The following is a 22066-nucleotide window of genomic DNA, read 5'->3' as shown; positions in this document are numbered from 1 at the left end:
CCGGTTCCTTTCCTGATTGAGCAGGTCGGATCCCAGGGTGGGTTCAGATTTGAAGGGCGAGGTTCGAGGCCAAGCCCCCGTCGCAGCCTAAGACTGCGGGCTTTTCTCCTCTGCAGGGATGGGGTAGGGCAGGGCCAGGGGCGGAGTTTTGAGCCCAGCCCTTGGGTTCTTGCCTCTGATTGAGCAGGGCGGGTTCTGAGGCGGATCGTGGGGCGGGGCCCGCTCTGCTTTTTGACAGCTGTCTCTTGCACAGCCGCAGCCAAGTCCGGTGGGTTCGGGAACCTGTGGCCCGGCTCTCTGCGCGTCCCCATCCCCCGTGGCCCCGACCCCGGCCATGAAGCGTATCTTCTCCTGCTCCAGCACACAGGTGGCGGTAGGTGCCAAAATGTGTGGGAGGATGGGGTTGGGATCCCAGCTCTGTGGTGACAGAAGTCTTTAGTCCCGTCTCAATGCATCATCGCCTTTTCTTTTTATCAGTCTTTCTAGCTCTTCTAGTCTTGCAAGGAAGCCCGCCAGCTTTGCCTTCCTCAAGACCCTGCCCTGCAGCTTCTGACTTGCCCTGCTCACCTCTGCCATCCCCAAGGCCCTTTCCCCGGCCCCTTTCTTGTCCTCCTAGCATCTACACCCCCGATTTCTGGTTCGTTTTCTGCAACTCTGTCCCCTTCCCATGGCCCTGACCCTACTTCTGCTCCGTCTCCCAGTACCAAACCTCCCCCAAGCATCTTCCTCAGCCCCTGCCTGGCCTCAAGCTCCATTCTACACCACCAAGTCATGCCCCAGAGCCCCATATTTCATCCCTGCCCTGTCCCCGCAATCTTGCCTTCCACGTAGCTCTATCCTTGCTGTTTCCTGTTAGTTCAACAAGCACTCCCAGCCCTGTGCCTTCTGCTAACCCTTTTTCACAATCTCCTCTGTCATTGCTTCCCTCCTGCCCCATGCCACTTTCACTCCCATCTCTCACCAGCACTGCTGTTCCTCAAACATCACTCCAAACCTTTTTCCAATTGATGCTCCCACAACAGCAACCTTCTGTTCTCCCCTCCAACCTCTGCCCTACTCTGCCCAGTGGTCGCCAGTCCCACTTTTCCTCCTGCCTGCTTGCTGTGAGTTAATATTGCAGTCTGGTCAGCCTCACAGGCACTGCCAGAGGATGCACAGTTGCCTGACTGCTCCCCAGAGGACTGGGTGAGTTGCCTGCAGAGTCCACCCCAGCCAGTTCACTGCAGTGTCTGATCATCAGACTGGTTCTTGGGCCAGTCAAGGCTCAAGGCCTTTCTGCCTGCTTTTCCCCAGATTATTCATTTCCTGAACCCTTGCCCAGTTGCTTAGGAATGATACTCTCTGTTTCCTTGGTTGAGGTGGGGGAAAGTGATGATGAGAGAAGAGGATAGAGCAGACTCAGAGTTCCCAGCAGAAGTCACTCTATTCCCCATGTTCTCCCAGAAAAAAAAAAACATAAGATTATAGAAGGTGGTGGCTTAGGGAGGGTATTGCTTCTTCTTCTCTAGAGATCTCTTACAGAGAGCCCCCTTATTTGGAAATGGAATTTTCTGTAGAGGTTGGGGTTACGGCTAATTTAGAAGCAAATTAGCCAGCTACTTGTAGCAATATTGCTTTGCTAACTTGACTTAGTAGTATCGTTCATAAGAAAATATCAGAAATGTTCAATTAGCTCATTCTGCATGGGCAGGTTACAGAATCCTGGAAGCAAGCTATGAGGCAAGAGTATGAACTCTGTTGAGGCCTGTCCTTGTCCCACTTACATTTGCATCTCTACTTAGTTTCCACACATTGATCAACCAATCAAAAGGTATTTACTATTATATGCACCAGAAACTGAGGCTGCCCAGACTCAGTCTTAACTCATAATGACTTTTTAGAAATTCATATGGACTCTTCCTTAGTTACTGAAAGTATTCAATGTTGCCTTTCCCTTACAGGTTTGTGGAGTCTGCCTGCTTCTTAGGAATGGGGAAACTATTTCATTCTTTCTGATCCCCCAATCCTTGGGCAGTACCTCCTTTCCAAGGTGCTGGAATGAGTGGGCTGGCTTTTGGAATTTGGAACCATCCCTCTGTCCTCCTTGATTCTAGCTGTACAGAGGTTTGACCATAAAGAATGACCACCCATTCTAAACTTTTAGTATAACAAGATCTTACTATAATGAGATTATGGGAAGTAAGTTGGATGGGTTTAGAATTATCTAGCTGGAAAGAAAACTGTTTCTTCAGACAGATTGGAGTCATAGAAAGCTTGCAAATAGGGCAGTTTCAGCTGCAGATTGGTTCCTCATGAAATTTCCCCACACTTCTCATGATAAATTCCTCCACTGTTTTGGGTGGCAAACTACTCTGGAACCATTTGTCAGAGAAGTAGTGTGGCAGTCTTTATGGCCACTCCAAAAGCCTGGCTTCCCAGTCACACTGGAAGACTGCCTCTACCCATCTCCACTCACACATTTGGGTCCAGGGCCAGAGCCCTGCACTGTCAGTCTGAGTAAGGACTGAAAAAGCAGTGATCATTTTAAAGCTAATCTAAGTTACCAGTATATAGGAAAATCCACACACAAAAAAACCCCAACTCCTATAATCCCATTTTATTTTAGTCAAGTAGAGGATATCCTTGAGGGTATCTTACCTATGAGCTTACTCTGCCTAGGTAGACCAGAAGTAGACCAGAAGAGAGCTTTAAATAATTGGCACTGGATCATCTGGGCGCAGTGGCTCACGCCTGTAATCCCAGCACTTTGGGAGGCTGAAGCGGGTGGATCACCTGAGGTCAGGAGTTTGGGACCAGCCTGGCCAACATGGCGATACCCTATCTCTACTAAAAATACAAAAATTAGCCGGGTGTGGTGGCAGGCACCTGTAATCCCAGCTACTTGGGAGGCTGAGGCAGGAGAATCGCTTGAACCCGGGAGGCGGAGGTTGCAGTGAGCCGAGATGGTGCCATCGCACTCCAGCCTGGGCAACAAGAGCAAGACTCCGTCTCAAAAAAAAAAAAAAAAAAAAAAAAATTGGTACTGTCTACTGCAATTACAACGTTGAGAATTAGGTCCTGGTTCCCCTTTCTGTTTCCACTCACCTGACCTACAGCAGAAGTCATTCCTTCTCTCTCTACTTGCTGGTGTGCTTCCATGTTGTAGGATGCTTATAGGTACACAGCCAGAGATATAAGGAGAAGGTACAATTACTTCTACAAAAGTCCTCTAATCTCAGCTATGGAAATACAAAGCTTATACTTATTGAGTCTGCTGATTAATTTGGTGATTGCTCCCTTGAGGCTGTGATGGTAATCTAGTGCCTCCTTTCCAAGGTGCTGGGGTAAGCTACAGACTGGATCTTGACATTTGAAAGCATCTCTCTGTCCTTTACTTCAGCTCTGCAGAGGCTTGGCCATGAAAAGTTTCTACCCATTCTAAACTCTACTTAGTATAATGAGATTATAGGAAGTAAATTGGGTGGATTTAGAACTATCTAGCTGGAAAGAAAAGTACCCAGGCCAGGCGTGGTGGCTCACACCTATAATCCCAGCACTTTGGGAGGCTGAGGTGCGGAGGATCACTTGAGCCCAGGAGTTTTTGAGACCAGCCTGGGCAATGCAGTGATACCTCATCTCTAAAAAAAAAAATTACCTGGGTGTGGTAGAGCATGCCTGTAGTCCCAGCTACTCAGAAGACTGAGGTGGGAGGATCACCTGAGCCCAGAGGTCAAGGCTGCAGTGAGCCATGATCATGCCACTGCACTTCAGCCTGGGCAACAAAGCAAGACTCTGTCTCAAAAAAAAAAAAAAAAAAGGAAAGAAAGAAAAAGAAAAAAGAAATAAAAAGAAGTGGAAAGGGCCAGGCGCGGTGGCTCACGCTTGTAATCCCAGCACTTTGGGAGGCCGAGGAGGGCAGATCACGAGGTCAGGAGATTGAGACCATCCTGGCTAACATGGTGAAACCCTGTCTCTACTAAAAATACAAAAAATTATCCGGGTGTGGTGGCGGGCGCCTGTAGTCCCAGCTACTCGGGAGGCTGAGGCAGGAGAATGGCGTGAACCTGGGAGGTGGAGGTTGCAGTGAGCCGAGACCACGCCACTGCACTCCAGCCTGGGCGACAGAGCAAGACTCTGTCTCAAAAAAAAAAAAAAAAAAAAAAAGAAGGGGAAAGAAAAGTATCTATATTGCTAAGAAGCATCTTTACCATCTGTACAGCTTGGCTGTTATTCGCTGGCTAGTATCAGCAAGATCCCTTCCACTCTCCTGGCTGGAGAATTCTGAGCCCAGGAACATCTAAAATGTGCTCAGGAAGGATGGATTGTGCATCTACTATGTGACAGACACCGAGCTAGATGCCTTATAGGTTGTTATAGTATTAGGAAACTGAGGTTCAGAGATGTTGTTACATGCCTAAATTCACAGAGGCAGACAGTGTTAGAGTCAAGACTTGAAACATTTCGAGAACTGCAGGTTGACGTCAGCTGATGGCAGCACCCTGTCGTGGGGCATAGTTCTAGCTCTCTGCTTTCCTGGGGGTGACCTGGTCTCCAAAGGCCATTAGAAAATGCGTTCTTACATGTCAGAGTCTGTTAGTATGTGAAGGAGTCATTTTGCTTATTTTGTCCTTTGAGAGTTAACCTGTTTGGAGACTCCATGAGACAGTAGAGTCTGAGGGTGGGTGGCTTTGCCCTGGAGGCAACTTGAGACTGTTTATCTGGAAATAAGTAAACCTGTTTCTATAGCTTGTAGTAGTGTGGTCTGGTGGGGAGAGCTAGGATTTGGCATCAGGTGGACTGGGTTCTTTTTTTGTTTGTTTGTTTGTTTGAGATGGAGTCTTGCTCTTGTCACCCAGACTGGAGTGCAATGGTGCAATCTCAGCTCACTGCAACCTCCACTTCCCAGGTTCAAGCAATTCTCCTGCCTCAGTCTCCTGTAGCTGGGATTACAGGCACCGGCCACCACCCCCAGCTAATTTTTTGTATTTTTAGTAGAGACGGGGTTTCACCATGTTGGCCAAGCTGGTCTTGAACTCCTGACCTCAGGTGATCCACCCGTCTTGGCCTCCCAAAGTGCTGGGATTGCAGGCGTGAACCACCGCACCCAGCCATGGCCTGGATTCTAATTCCAATTTTGCCACTCTTTTTCGTGATCTTGAATGGTTATCTAATCTTGGTATACTTCTGTTTCTTCTGTCAAAGAGATGGAATAATAGCCCTAGCTACTTTCCAGGGATGTTGAGAGACTAATTGAAATAGCATGTGAAAGGACTGTGAGAAGTTACAACTTCTGTACAGGAGTATTACCTCAGAATCCATCTACCTTAGATAATTTTATGGTTTGGATATTTAGAGCTTTCCTGTGGTTGATTAATAATTTGCCCTGGCTACGTAAACAGTGTTTGAAAATGAGTTACTGGGCTTCCACAGACCCTATTTTTCTTCACCCCTTTCTATAGCCTCTTGTTGAGATTATACCTTATAAAATGCTATGTGCCACCACCAACACCCCACTACTTCCTGTTTTGTTACAAGGATGCCATATATTTGTATGGCTCTTTACAGTTTATAAAGAGATTTTGTATATATTAGCTTGTTTAATAGTCACAGCATGATGAGGTAGTTGTTATTAGCCGTATTTTATAGAAGAGGAAACAGGTTAAAGGTGTTTAATGGCTTACTTTAGGTCACATAGCCGAGAATGTAGCTGAACTAGGTCCCAAACTCAGGCCAGCCAGCGAAATATTTGTCTGGCAGCCTTTACATCAGACCACAGATCTTTGCATCTGTCTCTTCCTTTTCATTCCCTTCTCTGGACAAAACCAGGCTTTTCTGTACTTTCAGCCCTGGGTGTTTTTACATAGCTGTCTCTTTTATGCCCTATAACACTTCAATTATTATAATTACCCTACCACCCACAAAACCCAAGCTGGAATGATAGAACAATGCATGCCCAGGTGTGGCTGTTGTCTAGACAGCTGCTCCCTGCCAGGGAAACTGGGAGGGAGGAGAAGGGGAGCTACCTCTTGCTGCTTCCTCAAACATAACTAGAAACCTCTTTGCCTTTTGGTTGTTGTTGCCATGGAAAGGAGAGAGACGGTCGCCAAAGGGCCTAGATATGATATGGGAAAACAGAAACTCTAGTTTCCTCTTTTAACTGTGGGGCCCAAAGCCAATGAAAAGAGGTGGAATGGTTAGGTATTGGAACTCCTAGCTGTAACCTGAAGCTCGGTGCCTTAATGTACTTCTCAAACAACTGACAACAAAAAGCAGAGCAGCAGGGTTTCAGGGGTGGAGGCGGTGGTGAGAGGCAACATGAGTCCTCAAAAGTGGTCACGTTGGTTCCATTTGCTCCAGCAAGACCTAGAGAGCAAAAGGGAAAGGATTGCTCTGAGGTTGGGCACTGAACAACAACTCTAATCATGATGACAAAAGGACATTTGAAATACTGTGCATTCAGCACTCAAATGATTTTTAATTCAGTGGTCCAGGGTCCTTCTGGCTCAGGGCTGGAAATAACCAGCAATAGTTCTTGGTGGCATATTAGCTGGTTAAGATTTAGCTAGGCCCACCTAAGAAGGACTAAATGATCTAGGATGTGTGACTTGTGGAAGAGAAAAAGGGATGTTCCTTTTCTCTCATTTGGCATCCTAACCATTTGCCTCTTTTCTTTCTCCACACTACCCTCATGCCCTATATTCACACAACCTGTGGCTCTGGACCAGGTGGAGAGATGGAACCGCCATGATCAGAAGCTGCTGGAGGCAGTGCACAGGGGGGATGTGGGACGCGTGGCTGCCCTGGCCTCCAGGAAATCTGCCCGACCCACCAAGCTTGACTCGAATGGCCAGTCCCCGTAAGTCAGTCCTCCTGCCCCTGCCCCTTACATGTGGCTCCCTTTTGAAGCCCCCAAATCCAATATAACATAGGACCAGGGAATGCCTACAACTTCAGAGCTCTTTTCATTGTCTTAATTAGCAAGTATATCAATAGTTTTTTGCTACATATAAGTTCTACACAAAGTGAGGAAAGAAAATATTGTTCCTGAGCTCCATCCATTGCACAACCCAGATTGACACCACTGACTTGTAAAGTACATAAAGCCCATTAAACAAACAGAAAATGAATATATACACTAAGTAGAGTGTTTCTTCATTGCACAAGTAGGAGGGTGTGTATGCATGGGAAATTTGAAATGAAGTGGTAGCATGGGAGTCACATGGCTAGAGGGAGTAGTGATTAAGTCAAAGGAAATGTTATCCCTTGTCTCTACCCAAAGCCTTCGAATGTCCAGCCTTCACTCTGCTCTGGCTGACTCTTTCTGTGACACTTCCACTTCCGCTAAGGTTCTGTGCTCAGAGAGGCAGGTAATTATGTGTTCCCTAGACACCCCTGCAATAGTCTGAGATTCCTTGAGACCTGTAGCTCTTATTTCTTCCTTGCTTTTAGCATCCTTTGTGATTGGAGGCCATATAGACTTCTCTTTCTCAGAAATTCAAGCTAGGGGAGCTTCTTTTCCTGCTTTTAGGATTGGCTTTGGGGTAGGGAGCATAGCAAGAAGGGCTTATCAAGATTCTCCCATTCCTCATCCCTGGTCCCTTTATCCTTTGGCCTCTCGGCCTTGATTCTGGCAGGTTTCATCTGGCAGCCTCCAAAGGCCTGACAGAATGTCTGACTATCCTGCTTGCAAATGGGGCTGACATCAACAGCAAGAATGAGGATGGTGAGTGAGCCGGAGCACTGGGCCACGCTGCTTGCTTGCCCCTGGTACAGCAGCAGTCGGGGGCGGTGCTGGGCCCTGCTGGACATTCCTACTGTGGCCCCTTGCTTCTCTCCTTAGTAAGTTCTGGCCAGCATCCTTCCAGGAGTTCCCCTCCCCGTAAGCTGGGCACACCTCACCCCCACTCCCACCTTCATCACAGGTACCAGGCACTTGGGGAACAGGAATTTCTGGCCCCGTGTGGCTGAAAGCTTCTCTCCCTAATCTCCTGATTATCTGTGCGTCTCTTGCCTTCCCTCCCTGTGAGTCATCAGCATGCATGGGGCCACCTACCCTCCTTCTCCCCTTCTTTCTGTTCCAGGAAGCACTGCCCTACACTTGGCCACCATCTCCTGCCAGCCACAGTGTGTTAAGGTTCTGCTTCAGGTAAGAGCAGTCCCTTGATACCACTCTTATGAAGGGAAGAAGTGGTCCCAGAGTTTTCTAACTTCATTTCATACTTAAAAGGAATAGTTGGCCAAATGTACTCGCCTCATCCCCAATAGGAGGGCTGATAATCATTTGTTTGCCAACATTTATTTAACTACTATGTGCAGGCACCATGTTTGATAGTGCCTTTGAGGGCAGGTTATAAAGCAGAGTTGCCAGGCACTATCGATTTTGTCATTAGCAGAGCCACTGCAGAGACTTCCTGCTATGATGAGGGGCAAGAGGAAGGAGGACAGAGATGTTCAAATTAAACCAAAGCCCTACTGTCTGTTTCTGAAGAGTTTATAGTCTAGTAGTATAAAGAGAAATATACATGTAAAATGACATGTGGATCATTTATAAATGAGTCTCCAAAAGCACAAAAGGCAGTTACTGGCCGGGTGCGGTGGCTCATGCCTGTAATCCCAGACTTTGGGAGATGGAGGTGGGCAGATCACAAGATCAGGAGATCGAGACCATCCTGGCTAACACAGTGAAACCCCATCTCTAATAAAAATACAAAAGATTAGCTGGGTGTGGTGGCACGTGCCTGTAGTCCCAGTTACTCGGGAGGCTGAGGCAGGAGAATCGCTTCAACCCAGGAGGCGGAGGTTGCAGTGATCCAAGATCGCACCACTGCACTCCAGTCTGGGCAACAGAGAGAGACTCTGTCTCAAAAAAAAAAAAAAAAATCAGTTATCTTAACCGGCCATCAGGCAAATGGATGTTCTACTTTCGTTCTTCCTAATCCTTTCCAAATTTCACAATTATGTTTCTAAAGTACCAGCCACGGGGACATTGGGTGTCATTTTCCCTAACACGTTTATTACCATCTGATTTTTCTTAGCCCCTTGGTTTAGAAACCAGGGCTGATATTCAAGGCTGCCTATCATCAGCAATGGATGAACTGGGCTTGCCTAGTAGATAGCCTTCTCCAAAGTGGACCTCCTGCCCCTCCTCATATTACCATGGAAATTGGTGACCCAATGGGGGTATGGGATGAGGATGTTAACACCAAGCTCCATGCTGCTTCCCTTTGTGGCCATTTGCAGCATGGTGCTAATGAAGATGCTGTGGATGCAGAAAACCGTAGTCCATTGCACTGGGCAGGTGTGTGCAGGGGACTCATGGGAACAGGGCTGCAGAGACTACAGGGTGGGAAAGGGGAGGCGTGAGGAGGGAAGGGCAGCCAGGGCCAACCAATGAAATGGTCGGAGGGGATGTTGGGTCATAGTCTGAGTAGGCTTTCTTCATGCTTCCCCTTAACCCAAACATCTTCTCCCCAGCCTCCTCTGGCTGTGCCTCAAGTGTGCTCCTGCTGTGTGACCACGAAGCCTTCCTGGACGTGTTGGATAATGTGAGTGTCAGATGGGCAAGTGGGCAGTGTCCTACACAGAAGGGCTGCTGCTGTCTCTCAGCTTGACTGGCCAACTTCCACGACCTAGGGCTGTGTTAGCACCACCCTTCTCTTCCTTCTCCTCCTGCTTCTCCTCTTCTTCCTCACAGAGAGGTTAAGCCTTATCTTCTGGAGAGCTTCTAACCCTCCAAAAGGGAGTGTTCAGACCCAAGATCTGGGCTTTTATTTTTTTTGGACAGGTGTGAGGGGAGGGGAGCCGGTAGGATTGTCAAGCCTCTGCAGTCCCTGGCTGCTCATGAACCTCTTCCTACAATCTGTGCAGGATGGACGTACACCCCTGATGATCGCATCGCTGGGTGGGCACGCAGCTATCTGCTCACAGCTGCTGCAGCGAGGCGCCCGAGTTAATGTTACAGACAAGAATGACAAGTGAGCCCCCCTCGTCTATGCACCCCAATTCCCATGCCTGACCAATTTAGAAAGAAGCCAGTGGGCAACGTGTGTGTGTGTGTGTTTGTGTGTGTTGGGGAAGAAGTCAGGTTGGTCTTTGTGTTCTTGGGAACCTCATTCCTTCCCAGTGGAGGTTCTGAAGAGCTCTGCCTGCTGCCACCACCATCTTCATAGATAGATGACCCCAGAAGTAGAATCGACACTTCTGGACCCGTTGGCTGAATTTACTGGTTGTCAAATTATCTTTTATGCAAGAGGATCCTTTTTTCCAATAAAAAATGTATGTAGAATCCCTGTGATCCCAGCACTTTGGGAGGCCAAGGCGGGTGGATCACGAGGTCAAGAGATTGAGACCATCCTAGCTAAAATGGTGAAACCCCATCTCTACTAAAAATACAAAAAATTGGTCAGGCATGGTGGTGGGTGCCTGTAGTCCCAGCTACTCGGGAGGCTGAGGCAGGAGAATGGCATGAATCTGGGAGGTGGAGGTTGCAGTGAGCCGAGATTGCACCACTGCACTCCAGCCTGGGCGAGAGAGGAGCGAGACTCCGTCTCAAAAAAAAAAGTATGTAGAACCTTGATATACAGAGCAGATAAAAATGGAGCTCATCCAGTTGGCCCCCTAATTTCTGTTCCTGCAGCTCTAAGGAATGGCATTTGAAAAGCCTAGTCCTGGCCTGGTGCAGTGGCTCATACCTGTAATCCCAGCACTTTGGGAGGCTGTGGAGGGTGGATCACCTGAGGTCAGGAGTTCAAGACCAGCCTGACCAACATGGAGAAACCCTGTCTCTACTAAAAATACAAAATTAGCCGGGTGTGGTGGTGCATGCCTGTAATCCCAGCTACTCGGGAGGTTGAGGCAGGAGAATCGCATGAACCTGGGAGGCAGAGGTTGCAGTGAGCCGAGATCATGCCATTGCACTCCAGCCTGGGCAACAAGAGTGAAACTCCGTCTCAAAAAAAAAAAAAGAGAAGTCTAGTCTGGTCTAATGTTGGTCTGTTGTTCTCCTGACCCCACTGAATGAGAGCTTACCCTGTGAGTGGAATGTCTGGAACCAGGACTTCTGGGTTCCATGTGGAAAGTCTGTGCTCAGATTTGTCTCAACCCACAGATCGGCTTTGATCCTGGCCTGTGAGAAAGGCAGTGCCGAGGTGGCTGAACTGCTCCTGAGCCACGGAGCTGACGCGGGGGCTGTGGACAGCACAGGGCATGATGCTCTGCACTATGCTCTGCACACACAAGACAAGGCACTGTGGAGGCACCTACAGCAGGCCCTGAGCCGGCGGCGGCGGGGCGGTAAAGGCCCTTGTGTAACTTCCACGTTCTCTAAGAATCAGAGAAGTTTCTTAGAGTCCCATTTGTTTCCATGGAAGTAATCTATCTGACAAATAATTGTCACCTGGGTTGAGAGTTTACGTATTTATTGCTGCTACTGTGAGAGGACCCCAAATCCCCATCCCAAAAGTATGATCACAAAATTCTTTAATGCAGCCTGGTCTCTCACTGAGGACAGCTCTGGCTAGTGTTGTTTCTGGCGTTTGTGAGTTGTAATTGTACATCTATTTGTGTGATTTGTTGGTCACTCTCTCTTTCCTCTACCAGATTGTAACCCCCTTAGGTGACAGGCCATTTCTGTTTTGCTCACCATTGAAGTTCCAGTGCTTATTAAAGTGCTGGACATAGTGACCAATAAATAAATGAGCGAACAAAATGAATGAAGTGGCCCATTTCTGGGATAGGAAACCAAAGTTGCTGGATAGTTAGGGATCCACTAAACAAGATTGGCTTCTGGCACCAGGAAGATGTGCAGTGAGATTGATCACAGAGAGGCCACTCCTCTCAGAAAAAGTCTGAAGATAAGAATGTGGGCTGGAAGTACATGGAACCTGTCTTCTCTCTCATTTTCCTCATATCTTTTCTTATAGGTCAGAGGCTAGTCCAGCACCCAGATCTCGCATCCCAGGTAAGACCCTAAGTGCCTCCCCCTTTTGCTTTTGACACACCCCAGGCTATCCCACTGTGACTATTCCTAGTGGTCCTTGGGGTGTCAAGACATTTAAGAGAAGAAAGGCACTCCTAGGGCTCAGTTCGTTGCCTAGTGGCCACACTTTACTATTCTGTTTCCAACATAGGCCTCTCCATCTGAGCCCCAGGCAGGTTCTCCTCCTAAGAGCTCATGGAGAGCAGAGCCTGAAGAGGAGCAAGAGGAGAAGGAGGATGAAGACCCGTGCTCGGAGGAGTGGAGGTGGAAGTATGAAGAGGAGCGGAGGAAAGTTGTTCGGCTGGAGCAGGAGCTGGTGCAAAAGACAGAAGAGTGTAAGACTCAAGCTGCAGCCTATCTGGACCTTGAGAACCAGATTCGAGAGCAGGCGCAGGAGCTAGGGGTCCTCCTATCCTGGGAGCCCAGAGCTTCAGGAAAGCAAGGCTCTAGTCTCCGGCCTGGAGGGGATGGCATGGAGCAGGGTTGTCCTAAGGACCTGCTGGCTGAGAGTACACAAGAGCTAAAGAAGCAGCAGCAGGCAGCAGCCACAGTAAATCCAGTATTAGCTCCAAAGAAGGCTGAGGACTCAGCCCCAGGAAAGATCCAGTATGAAGTCCATGGAAGGTCCCAACCAGAAGAACAGGGGCCACCCCAGAGCCCAGCGTCTGAGACCATCAGGAAAGCCACAGGACAGCAACTGACTACCAATGGGGCACAGACCTTTGGCCCTGATCATGCTGACCAGCTGCCTGCTGGTCAGAAGGAGAGTTCCCAGGTTCTAGGAGTTGAACCAGGAGGCACAGTGGCTGAACCAGTGGGCCCAGCAGCCATGAACCAGCTTCTGCTTCAACTAAGGGAGGAGCTTGCTGCAGTGTGGCGAGAAAAGGATGCTGCCCGGGGGGCTTTGTCAAGACCGGTCATGGAGGGAGCCCTGGGGACTCCCCGTGCTGAGGCAGCAGCAGCTGCCTGGGAGAAGATGGAAGCCCGACTGGAGCGGGTGCTGGCAAGGCTGGAATGGGCAAAGGCAGGACTACAGGTGAAACCTGAGGTTCCTTCCCAGGAGTCCAGAGAGGGAGCCCTAAAGGCAGCCCCAGGGAGCATCAAACAGGATGAAGAGAAGGAGAAAAGGGTTCCTGGGGCTCAAGGAGAGCCTCTAGGGGCCCTTGGAGGGGAAAAGGCCCTAGGAGGCCTGGCAAAGGGACAGCTGGAGAAGGAGATGTCAGTACTGAGACTGAGCAACAGTAACTTGCTGGAGGAGTTAGGGGAGTTGGGGCGGGAGCGGCAGAGGTTGCAGAGGGAGCTACAGTCCCTGAGCCAGCGGCTGCAGCGGGAGTTTGTGCCCAAGCCACAGGCGCAGGTCCAGCTACAGCAGTTGCGACAGAGTGTGGGGCTGCTGACAAATGAACTGGCCATGGAGAAGGAGGCCACAGAGAAGCTGCGGAAGCTCCTGGCCTCCCAGAGCAGCGGTCTCCGAGGGCTGTGGGACTGCCTGCCCGCAGACCTAGTGGGCGAGAGGAGTGCACAAAGCAAAGCAGCGGAGTCCCTGGAGGAGCTGCGGGCCTGCATCAGCACCCTGGTGGATCGGCACCGGGAGGCCCAGCAGGTGCTGGCTCGGCTGCAAGAAGAAAACCAGCAGTTGCGGGGGTCCTTGTCCCCGTGTAGGGAGCCAGGCACCTCCTTAAAGGCCCCAGCATCCCCCCAAGTGGCCGCTCTGGAGCAAGACCTGGGGAAGCTGGAGGAAGAGCTGCGGGCAGTTCAGGCCACGATGAGCGGGAAGAGCCAGGAGATCGGAAAGCTGAAGCAGCTGCTCTACCAAGCCACAGAGGAAGTGGCTGAGCTAAGGGCCCGGGAGGCAGCCAGCCTACGGCAACACGAGAAAACTCGGGGTTCGCTGGTGGCCCAGGCTCAGGCTTGGGGCCAGGAGCTAAAGGCTCTGTTGGAAAAGTATAATACGGCCTGCCGGGAAGTGGGTCGGCTGCGGGAGGCGGTGGCCGAGGAGCGCCGCCGGAGCGGGGACCTGGCCGCTCAGGCAGCCGAACAAGAGCGCCAGGCCAGCGAGATGCGGGGGCGCTCCGAGCAGTTTGAGAAAACGGCAGAGCTGCTGAAAGAGAAGATGGAGCATCTCATTGGGGCTTGCCGAGACAAGGAAGCCAAGGTGAGCAGCTGAGGTAGCCCTGGGGAGCACTGGGGAAAGTTTCTGTGTATTTGGGAGTTTACTAACCTGAATCCAGCAACCTTTATTGCAGCAGTGGGTCAGATTAATACCCCAAACGGAGCACCAGTCCTTTGCAGGGACCACACTACTATGTTCTCGTGGGTCTGAGGGGGTTGGTGAGATTGGAGGTGAGGTAAGGTATAAGTGGAAGAGAGAAGGGGGCTTAGGTACTAAAATTTGGCACCCAGATTCAGAAGCAGTGTGCTCAGGGCTGCCACCAGTGCAGCACCATCGTTTATTAGCATTTGGACTTGAATTGCATATTAGCCTGGGAAGAGGCCTAATAGCATGATGGGTTGCTGTGGTTTTACTGAAGTTCTGAGGAGGTCACTCAAGAACTAATGAGTTAAGAAAAGTAGACCCAGCGAGAGCTGCTCTTCTCGCCTCCACTTCAGGGTGGGTTCTACAAAACGATGTCCATTGGCAAAGAGGGCACCAATGCAAAGAAAAAAATCTTGAGGCCGGGCGCGGTGGCTCACGCCTGTAATCCCAGCACTTTGGGATGCCGAGGCGGGTGGATCACCTGAGGTCAGGGGTTTGAGACCAGCCTGACCAACATGGTGAAACCCGGTCTCCACTAAAAATACAAAAATTAGCTGGGCGTGGTGCGGGCACCTGTAATCCCAGCTACTCAGGAGGCTGAGGCAGGAGAATCGCCTGAACCAGAGAGGCAGAGGTAGCAGTGAGCCAAGATTGCACCATTGCACTCCAGCCTGGGTGACACAGCAAGACTCTGTCTCAAAAAAAAAAAAAAAAAAAAAAAAAAAAGAAAAAAGAAAAGAAAGAAAGAAAGAAAGAAAAAAAGCTTGAAAACCACTATTAGATACCAGAGTTTCCTAAAGCTTGCTCTAAATGTGAGTCTACATGTTTCTATGAGACATGTTTTATGAACTCTAAATATCAATTTACACATGGATTTAGTACTTCCAGACTTAACCGTGAAATGAATGATTTCAGACTTCTTATTAAAACTTGGATACATGGTCAAATTTAGAATGATTAAAAAATATAAAAAGGCCGGGCATGGTGGCAAAAATTAGATGGGTGTGGTGGCATGTGCCTGTAATCCCAGCTCCCAAGAGGCTGAGGCAGGAGAATCACTGGAACCTGGGAGGTGGAGGTTGCAGTGAGCCAAGATCGCACCACTGCACTCCAGTCTGGGCAACAGAGCGAGACTCCTCCTTCTCCTCAAAAAACGTTATATATATATATAAAAGAATGTATGTTTTCTATAGTGTGGAGTACATAAAAATAGAAGGAATGTTATCCAGAATAGGAATCAGTGCGGGTTGAGGTTAATTAAAGAAAGTATTTTTATGTTGCATTGAAGGAGAAGTTGAAAGTAGACAATCGGGTGAAAGCAAACATAGTGTCATGGTTAAGAATGTGTTCTCTGGACCAAGATTGTCTGATCTTGGGCAAGTTATTTAACATCTCTAGTCCTCAGTTTTCTTATCTATAAAATGAGGATAATAAAATGGTTGTGAAGATTGCATTAAATAAGAAATTATATTTATTTAAAAGATTTGGGGCTGGGTGCGGTGGCTCATGACTGTAATCCCAGCACTTTGGGAGGCTGAGGCAGGCGGATCACGAGGTCAGGAGATCGAGACCATCCTGGCTAACACGGTGAAACCCCGTCTCCACTAAAAATACAAAAAAATTATCCGGGCGTGGTGGTGGGCGCCTGTACTCCCAGCTACTCGGAGAGGCTGAGGCAGGAGAATGGTGTGAGCCCGGGACGTGGAGCTTGCAGTGAGCTGAGATCGCGCCACTGCACTCCAGCCTGGGCGACAGAGCCAGATTCTGCCTCAAAAAAAAAAAAAAAAAATTTGGAACTCTTGGCCCATGGTAAGTACTCAGTAAAAGGTAGCTATCATTATTCCTACTACCACTATTCCTATTACTGCTAGTTACCATTAACTGCATTTGTGCCTCTGCCTCAATAAGCCATAAGGACTCATCTCCATTTCCCTTAGTGGTCAGTAGCCAGGAGTAGGTTAGGATCTGATACCAAGTTAAGAGCATCGGCCAAGGAGTCAAAGAGATTGTGGTTCAAATCATGATTTCATCACTTATTAGCTGTGTGATTTTGACAAATTACTTAATTTAGTCTCTTTATCTACAAAACGTAGATTATAATACTTCCCTCAGGCGGAGCACAGTGGCTCATGCCTGTAATCCCAGCACTTTGGGAGGCCAAGGTGGATGGATCGCCTGAGCCCACGAGTTTGAGACCAGCCTGGACAACATGGCAAAACCCCAACTCTACAAAAAAATACAAAAATTAGCTGAGTATGGTGGCATGTGCCTGTTCCTGTGCTACTCAGGAGGCTGAGGTTGGCTTGAGCCCAGGATTTAGAGGTTGCAGTGAGCTGAGATCACATCACTGCACTCCAGCCTGGGTGGCAGGTGAGACCCTGCCTCCAAACACAAAACAGGCTGGGCGCAGTGGCTCACACCTGTAATCCCAGCACTTTAGGAGGCTGAGGTGGGCGGATCACCTGAGGTCAGGAGTTCGAGACCAGCCTGGCCAACGTAGTGAAACCCCGCCTCTACTAAAAATACAAAAATTATCTGAGTGTGGTGGCGCATGCCTGTAATCCCAGCTTCTTGGGAGGCTGAGGCAGGAGAATCACTTGAACCTGGAGGCAGATGTTGCAGTGAGCAGATGGTGTCACTGCACTCTAGCCTGGGTGACAGAGCAAGACTCAGTCTAAAAAACAAACAAACAAAAAAAAACAAAAAAACAAACTTCCTTCAGAGAAGTATTGTTCCTCCCGGAAGAAAAGCTGTTTTTTTTTTAAATTTTTTTAAGTTTTCAATGTTTTATCATATTGGATAGCAGCTTTTTTTTTAATTGGTTACAAAACCTAAGCCCATATACAAAATTAGGAACACATTTAGATGCCTCTTTTGAAAGAACATTTTAGTCTTTTTAAACTGAGTTTTAAAAAAATAAAAACAATGCAATTTTTAAACACTGTTTTGAAAACTTAAAAGTGCAGCAATATAGTTAGTTTCCTTTATCTACGAAATGGGGCAATTCCAATTCAGAACTGGTAAGGTCACAAATTGAATCAAGGAAATGCATACAAATGTCTGCACTACTTGATGCTAATGTTCACTTAAATGTTAGTTTGCACTTTAAAACATGAGAGGAAATAGGAATCATCACAGTAGAGGCCCACTTTTAATCATAATGTGTGCAAATTTTAAAAGGTAACTGACAAGTAAGGAAAGTCCAGAAGAAACTAAACTGGAAGGGGTATAGTTCACAATATCAAAAAGATTTGGACTTTTAAGGGTTTCACCGAAGTTTGTGACCTTAATTAGCTTTTACGTTGTTATTCCTACTTTTAGTGAACACCACACAGAAGAAAAGCTGTTTTGAGTGTTAAATGAGACAATTTGTATAAAATTGGCACATATTAAATACTCAGTAAAAGGAAGCTGACCTTGACCCTTGTGGGAGAAATGACTTGGAGCCTCATTGGTTGCCTCTTTCCTCTTGGCCTCAGATCAAGGAGTTGTTGAAGAAGCTGGAGCAGCTTTCAGAAGAGGTTCTAGCAATTCGGGGAGAAAATGCTCGCCTTGCCCTGCAGCTGCAGGTATGTTTTGGCTGTCAGGGATGGTGCTGGAGAAGAAGGTCAGCAGTGGAAGTGATGTATATGTGGGAGACATTCTAGGAATTACTGAGGGAGACATTCTAGGAATTACAGAGGCCTGGCTAGGCAGTGGTCCAGGATGGGCCAGTGATGGGCCAACGAGCCCACCTGGTACTGCTGACCACTTCATTGTGTTGCTCCTCATGCTTGGGTGACTGAGGGTGGACATGTGACTTCCCATTGATGTTCATTCCCAGGATTCCCAGAAGAACCATGAAGAGATCATCTCCACCTACAGGAATCATCTACTGAATGCTGCTCGGGTGAGCATGGTGGAGTTTTGAGGGAGGTATAGACATAAAGCTGAGTATAGGGTATTGCATTTAGGGTCCCTCTCTCTTCTCCAGGGTCCCTGTACACACTTGCTGTTTCTCGGAAAGCTGGATCCAGTGCTAGGTCTCTGATCTCATTTGGTAGATCAAGAGAGGTTGTGCATGAATGTGAGAAGGAGAGGTGTTTCCCCCTCTGTTTCAATTCTCTGGCCTATAGTAAGGACTTTTCCTGTCCCCAATACCCTTTCTCAGTCTCCTCCTGGAGCCACTTAGTCCTAAACAAGGAAGAAGAGGTAGGTGTCTTGCTCCCTTGTTAGGAATAATAACTACAAAGAATGGAATGAACACCTATTGTGTACCTGGTGCTTTGCTTCATATTCATGGTTGTAATCCTCAGAGCAATCCTGAAAAGTAGACATCATTATCTTCCCTGTGAAGATAGGGAAAAAGCCATGGAGAAGTTAAATACTATAAGTGAAGGTATATAGTAAATAAATAGCCTTCCACTGTACCACAGAACCTCTCCCTCACCTCTCTCTCTCCATTTTCTGTTCTTCATCTCCTTTTCTTCCTTTCCTGACATCTACAGGGTTACATGGAACATGAAGTGTACAATATCCTGCTGCAAATCCTTAGCATGGAAGAGGAGTGAGGCAGCCTCACTGTGTGCCCTCAGGGATACGAGATTCTCTGTTGTGAGTTGTGGGTTAAGGGTGATGAGGGAAGGAGTTTGGGAGAAAGGGCTTGGGAAAGGTGTATGGAATGAAATTAGTCCCTTTTGCCCCCGTGGTGGCTGACAATGGGGAGCCTTTTGGGGCATAGAGCATTTGAGGTGACTGAGAAGACAGAACATGGAGAATCACTGGGTGGAGTCAGGAATCAGTGAGCAGGTGGACTAAGGGGGCTGACTTATGAGATGGAGACTGAAAAGAGGGGTTGGGTCTGGGGTAGGGAGATGCCAGTGAAAGATGAGTGATGGTAGGATAGTGGTAGACAGTTGTTCCTTAGGGCAGGACTCTACAAAATCCAGAATCTCTTCACTTTGATACCATTCATTCAAAGAGCAGTCATCCCCCAAACCTCCCCCCACCCCAATGCAGATAGTCCCCTTCTCCAGTCCAGATAGATGAGGGTCCCTTTTAGCATGTTGATATGAGTGGGAGGAGACTGAGGATATGGAAGTGGGTGCATTTCATCTTTGAATTTCTTCTTTCAGGGAATAAGAAACCCTGGTTGACAGAGGCTTCATCAGGCTGTGGTGGGCGGGGGTGTTGGCCACTAGGCAATGGTATGGGCAGGGCTTCACCTGACATTATGGACCTCAGACCTGAGAACCTGGACCCTGGAATCAGCATGGATGAGACCAGAGGAGGTATGGATGGAAACAAGCTCTATGGAAAATAAAGCATGAGGCAGGACGGGGCTGAGTGTAATTTTTTTTTTTCTAAAGGGGAGTGGGGAAAGGAATATCTTTCATCCCTTTATTCTTTTCTTTTTTTCTGGAAACAAATATTAACAGTATGTCTTTATTTTTAAAAACATTTTTTTACAAGTAGATTTTTTTTTTGAGGCAGAGTCTTGCTCTGTCGCCCAGGCTGGAGTGCAGTGGCATGATCTCAGCTCACTGCAACCTCTGCCTCCTGGGCTCAAGTGATTCTTGTGCCTCAGCCTCCCAAGTAGCTGGGATTACAGGCATGTGCCACCATGCCCAGGGATACAAGTAGATTTTGTTTTTTATTTTGCAAATAGACTTTATTTTTAAAGCAGTTTTAGGTTCACAACAAAATTAAGCAGAAGGTACAGAGATTTTCATATATTCTCTGCCCCCATGCAGGCACTGCCTCCCCAATTATCAATATCCTCACCAGAGTGGTTTATTTGTTATAATTGATGAACCTACATTGACACATTATTATCATTCAGAGTTCATAGTATACATTAGGGTTCACTCTTGGTGTTAGAGAGTCTGTTGGTTTGGACACATTTATATTGACATATATCCATCATTATGTTATCTTTTTTTTGTTTTTGTTTGTTTGTTTGTTTGTTTTGAGGCAGGGTCTTACTCTGCTGCCCAGGCTGGAGTGCAGTGGCATGATCATAACTCACTGCAGCCTCAACTTCCTGGGCTCCAGTAATCCTCCAACTCAGCCTCCCAAGTAGCTGGGGCTACAGGCGAGCACCACCACAACTGGCTGATTTTTCTGTATATTTAATAGAGACCAAGTTTTGCCATGTTGCCCAGGCTGGTCTCAAACTCCTGGGCTCAAGCGATCCACCTGTCCCAGCTCCCCAAAGTGCTGGGGATTACAGGCATGAGCCACTGTGCCTGGCCATCTCTATATTATCATACACAGTGGTTTCGCTGCCCTAAGAATCCTCTTTGCTCTGTCTGCTCATCTCCCCATCCCTGCTAACCCCTGGCAACCACTGATCTTTCTCCCATCCCCAGTTGTGCTTAGTTGGAATTATACAGTATGTATCCTTTTCAGACTGGTTTCTTTGAGTTAGTAATATACATTTAAATTTCCTCCATGTCTTTCCATGGCTTGATAACTCACTTATTTTTAGTACCGAATAATATTCCATTGTCTGAATGTGTCACAATTTATTTATCCATTCACCTACTGAAGGACATCTTGATTGTTTCCAAGCTTTGGCACTTTTTTTTTTTTTTTTTTTTTTTAGCAGAGTCTCACTCTATCACTCAGGCTGGAGTGCAGTAGGGCAGTCTCAGCTCACTGCAACCGCCGCCTCCTGGGTTCATGCGATTCTCCTGCTTCAGCCTCCCGAGTAGCTGGGATTACAAGTGCATGACACCACATCCAGCTAATTTTTTTCTATTTTTAGTAGAGACGGGGTTTCACCATGTTGGCCAAGCAGTCTTGAACTCCTGACCTCAGGTGATCCACCCACCTCTGCCTCCCAAAGTGCTAGGATTACAGGCTTGAGCCACCATGCCTGGCCTTGGCAATTATTTAATTTGTTTTTGAATGAAATTCACAAATGGCCCTATAAGTCAGCAACTTTCAAACTTTTTGATCCCTAGTAAGAAATAAAAAAAAATTTTTTTGAGGCAGAGTCTCACTCTGTCACCCAGGCTGGAGTGCAGTGGTGTGATCTCAGCTCACTGCATCCTCTGCCTCCTGGGTTCAAGGTATTCTCATGCCTCAGCCTCCTGAGTAGCTGGAATTATAGGCGTGCACCACCATGCGTGGCTAAGTTTTGTACTTTTTGAAGACACAGGGTTTTGCCATGTTGGCCAGGCTGGTCTCAAACTCCTGTCCTCAAGTGATTCTCCTCCCTAAGTACTGGGATTACAGGTATGAGCCACTGCATCTGGCCAAGAAATACATTTTGTATCTTGTGTATACATAGCTCGAATAATACTTTACTATTTCTCTTCTATTCTTTGCTAATATACTCCATCAAAATGCATCCACTAATGGGTCAAGACCCACGGTTTGAAAAATAGCCCTCAGTGAAAATGGGGTTTGACACTCTTCCTTTCCACTTTCTCGAATCTGTCACAGCTCTAATCTTTTTTCTCTGCCTTGGGACTGTTGAATCCATGATTTTTTTTTTTTTTTTTTTTTAAGGGGAGATTGAGAGACCTGGATTTTCTTCAGGATATACTTTCTAAAGTATTTTATCAAGTGTTAAACAATGTGTCTATATTTGACACACATGGTCTCACTGTTCTTTGTCCCAGGTGACAAAAGGGATGAAAAGTCTGATTCCTGGGTAGAGGATGAAGGGATACCCAAGTTTCATTTTTGCCTGTGATTCCATTCTCAGACTGAAAAAAAAAATGTATCTCTCTTGGCCACTTCCCCTGGGTCTCCTCCTCTGCCTGCCCTTCCACCAGGCATGCTGTTAGGTGAAAATGAGGCAGTGAATTCCTCTAAAATCTGGAATTGCAGTTTGGTGGCCCGCACGCTGATCCCTCCCCATT

The 22066-nt window shown here is 47.7% G+C and overlaps 1 protein-coding gene across 2 annotated transcripts, besides 4 other annotated features; it reads left to right on the top strand.

The window, feature by feature from the left end:
* Positions 164 to 353: a silencer, noted in NCBI's record as "silent region_1267". NCBI's record gives its function as "represses an Ori minimal core promoter by ATAC-STARR-seq in GM12878 lymphoblastoid cells {active_cell/tissue: GM12878}" and the evidence as "EXISTENCE:reporter gene assay evidence [ECO:0000049][PMID:35858748]".
* On the top strand, positions 227 to 19529 carry ANKRD35 (ankyrin repeat domain 35). Of its 2 annotated transcripts, NM_144698.5 has the most exons (14): positions 227 to 373; positions 6705 to 6835; positions 7614 to 7702; positions 8061 to 8125; positions 9220 to 9277; positions 9454 to 9524; positions 9847 to 9953; positions 11087 to 11271; positions 11901 to 11938; positions 12108 to 14111; positions 17693 to 17782; positions 18037 to 18102; positions 18701 to 18806; positions 19328 to 19529. In NM_144698.5, exons 1-13 carry the CDS (start codon positions 335 to 337, stop codon positions 18761 to 18763), a joined length of 3006 nt encoding a protein of 1001 aa, NP_653299.4. In that variant the 5' UTR covers positions 227 to 334; the 3' UTR covers positions 18764 to 18806; positions 19328 to 19529. The 2 variants fall into 2 exon arrangements, with proteins under 2 accessions (NP_653299.4, NP_001267728.1); NM_001280799.2 differs by lacking the exons at positions 6705 to 6835; positions 7614 to 7702 and having other exon boundaries at positions 227 to 367; positions 8105 to 8125.
* Positions 7262 to 8245: an enhancer, noted in NCBI's record as "H3K4me1 hESC enhancer chr1:145556249-145557232 (GRCh37/hg19 assembly coordinates)". NCBI's record gives its function as "activates a minimal SCP1, AML or CMV promoter by ChIP-STARR-seq in naive and primed H9 embryonic stem cells {active_cell/tissue: H9 hESC(naive and primed)}" and the evidence as "EXISTENCE:reporter gene assay evidence [ECO:0000049][PMID:30033119]".
* Positions 13403 to 13920: an enhancer, noted in NCBI's record as "H3K4me1 hESC enhancer chr1:145562391-145562908 (GRCh37/hg19 assembly coordinates)". NCBI's record gives its function as "activates a minimal SCP1, AML or CMV promoter by ChIP-STARR-seq in primed H9 embryonic stem cells {active_cell/tissue: H9 hESC(primed)}" and the evidence as "EXISTENCE:reporter gene assay evidence [ECO:0000049][PMID:30033119]".
* Positions 13971 to 14050: a silencer, noted in NCBI's record as "silent region_1266". NCBI's record gives its function as "represses an Ori minimal core promoter by ATAC-STARR-seq in GM12878 lymphoblastoid cells {active_cell/tissue: GM12878}" and the evidence as "EXISTENCE:reporter gene assay evidence [ECO:0000049][PMID:35858748]".
* Positions 19530 to 22066: the final 2537 nt, after the last annotated feature.

The sequence above is a fragment of the Homo sapiens genome, chromosome 1 (genome assembly GCF_000001405.40).
Source record: "Homo sapiens chromosome 1, GRCh38.p14 Primary Assembly".
NCBI lineage: Eukaryota > Metazoa > Chordata > Mammalia > Primates > Hominidae > Homo > Homo sapiens.
Note: the sequence above shows the minus strand (reverse complement) of the source record. Positions and strands in the feature narration are given on the sequence as shown.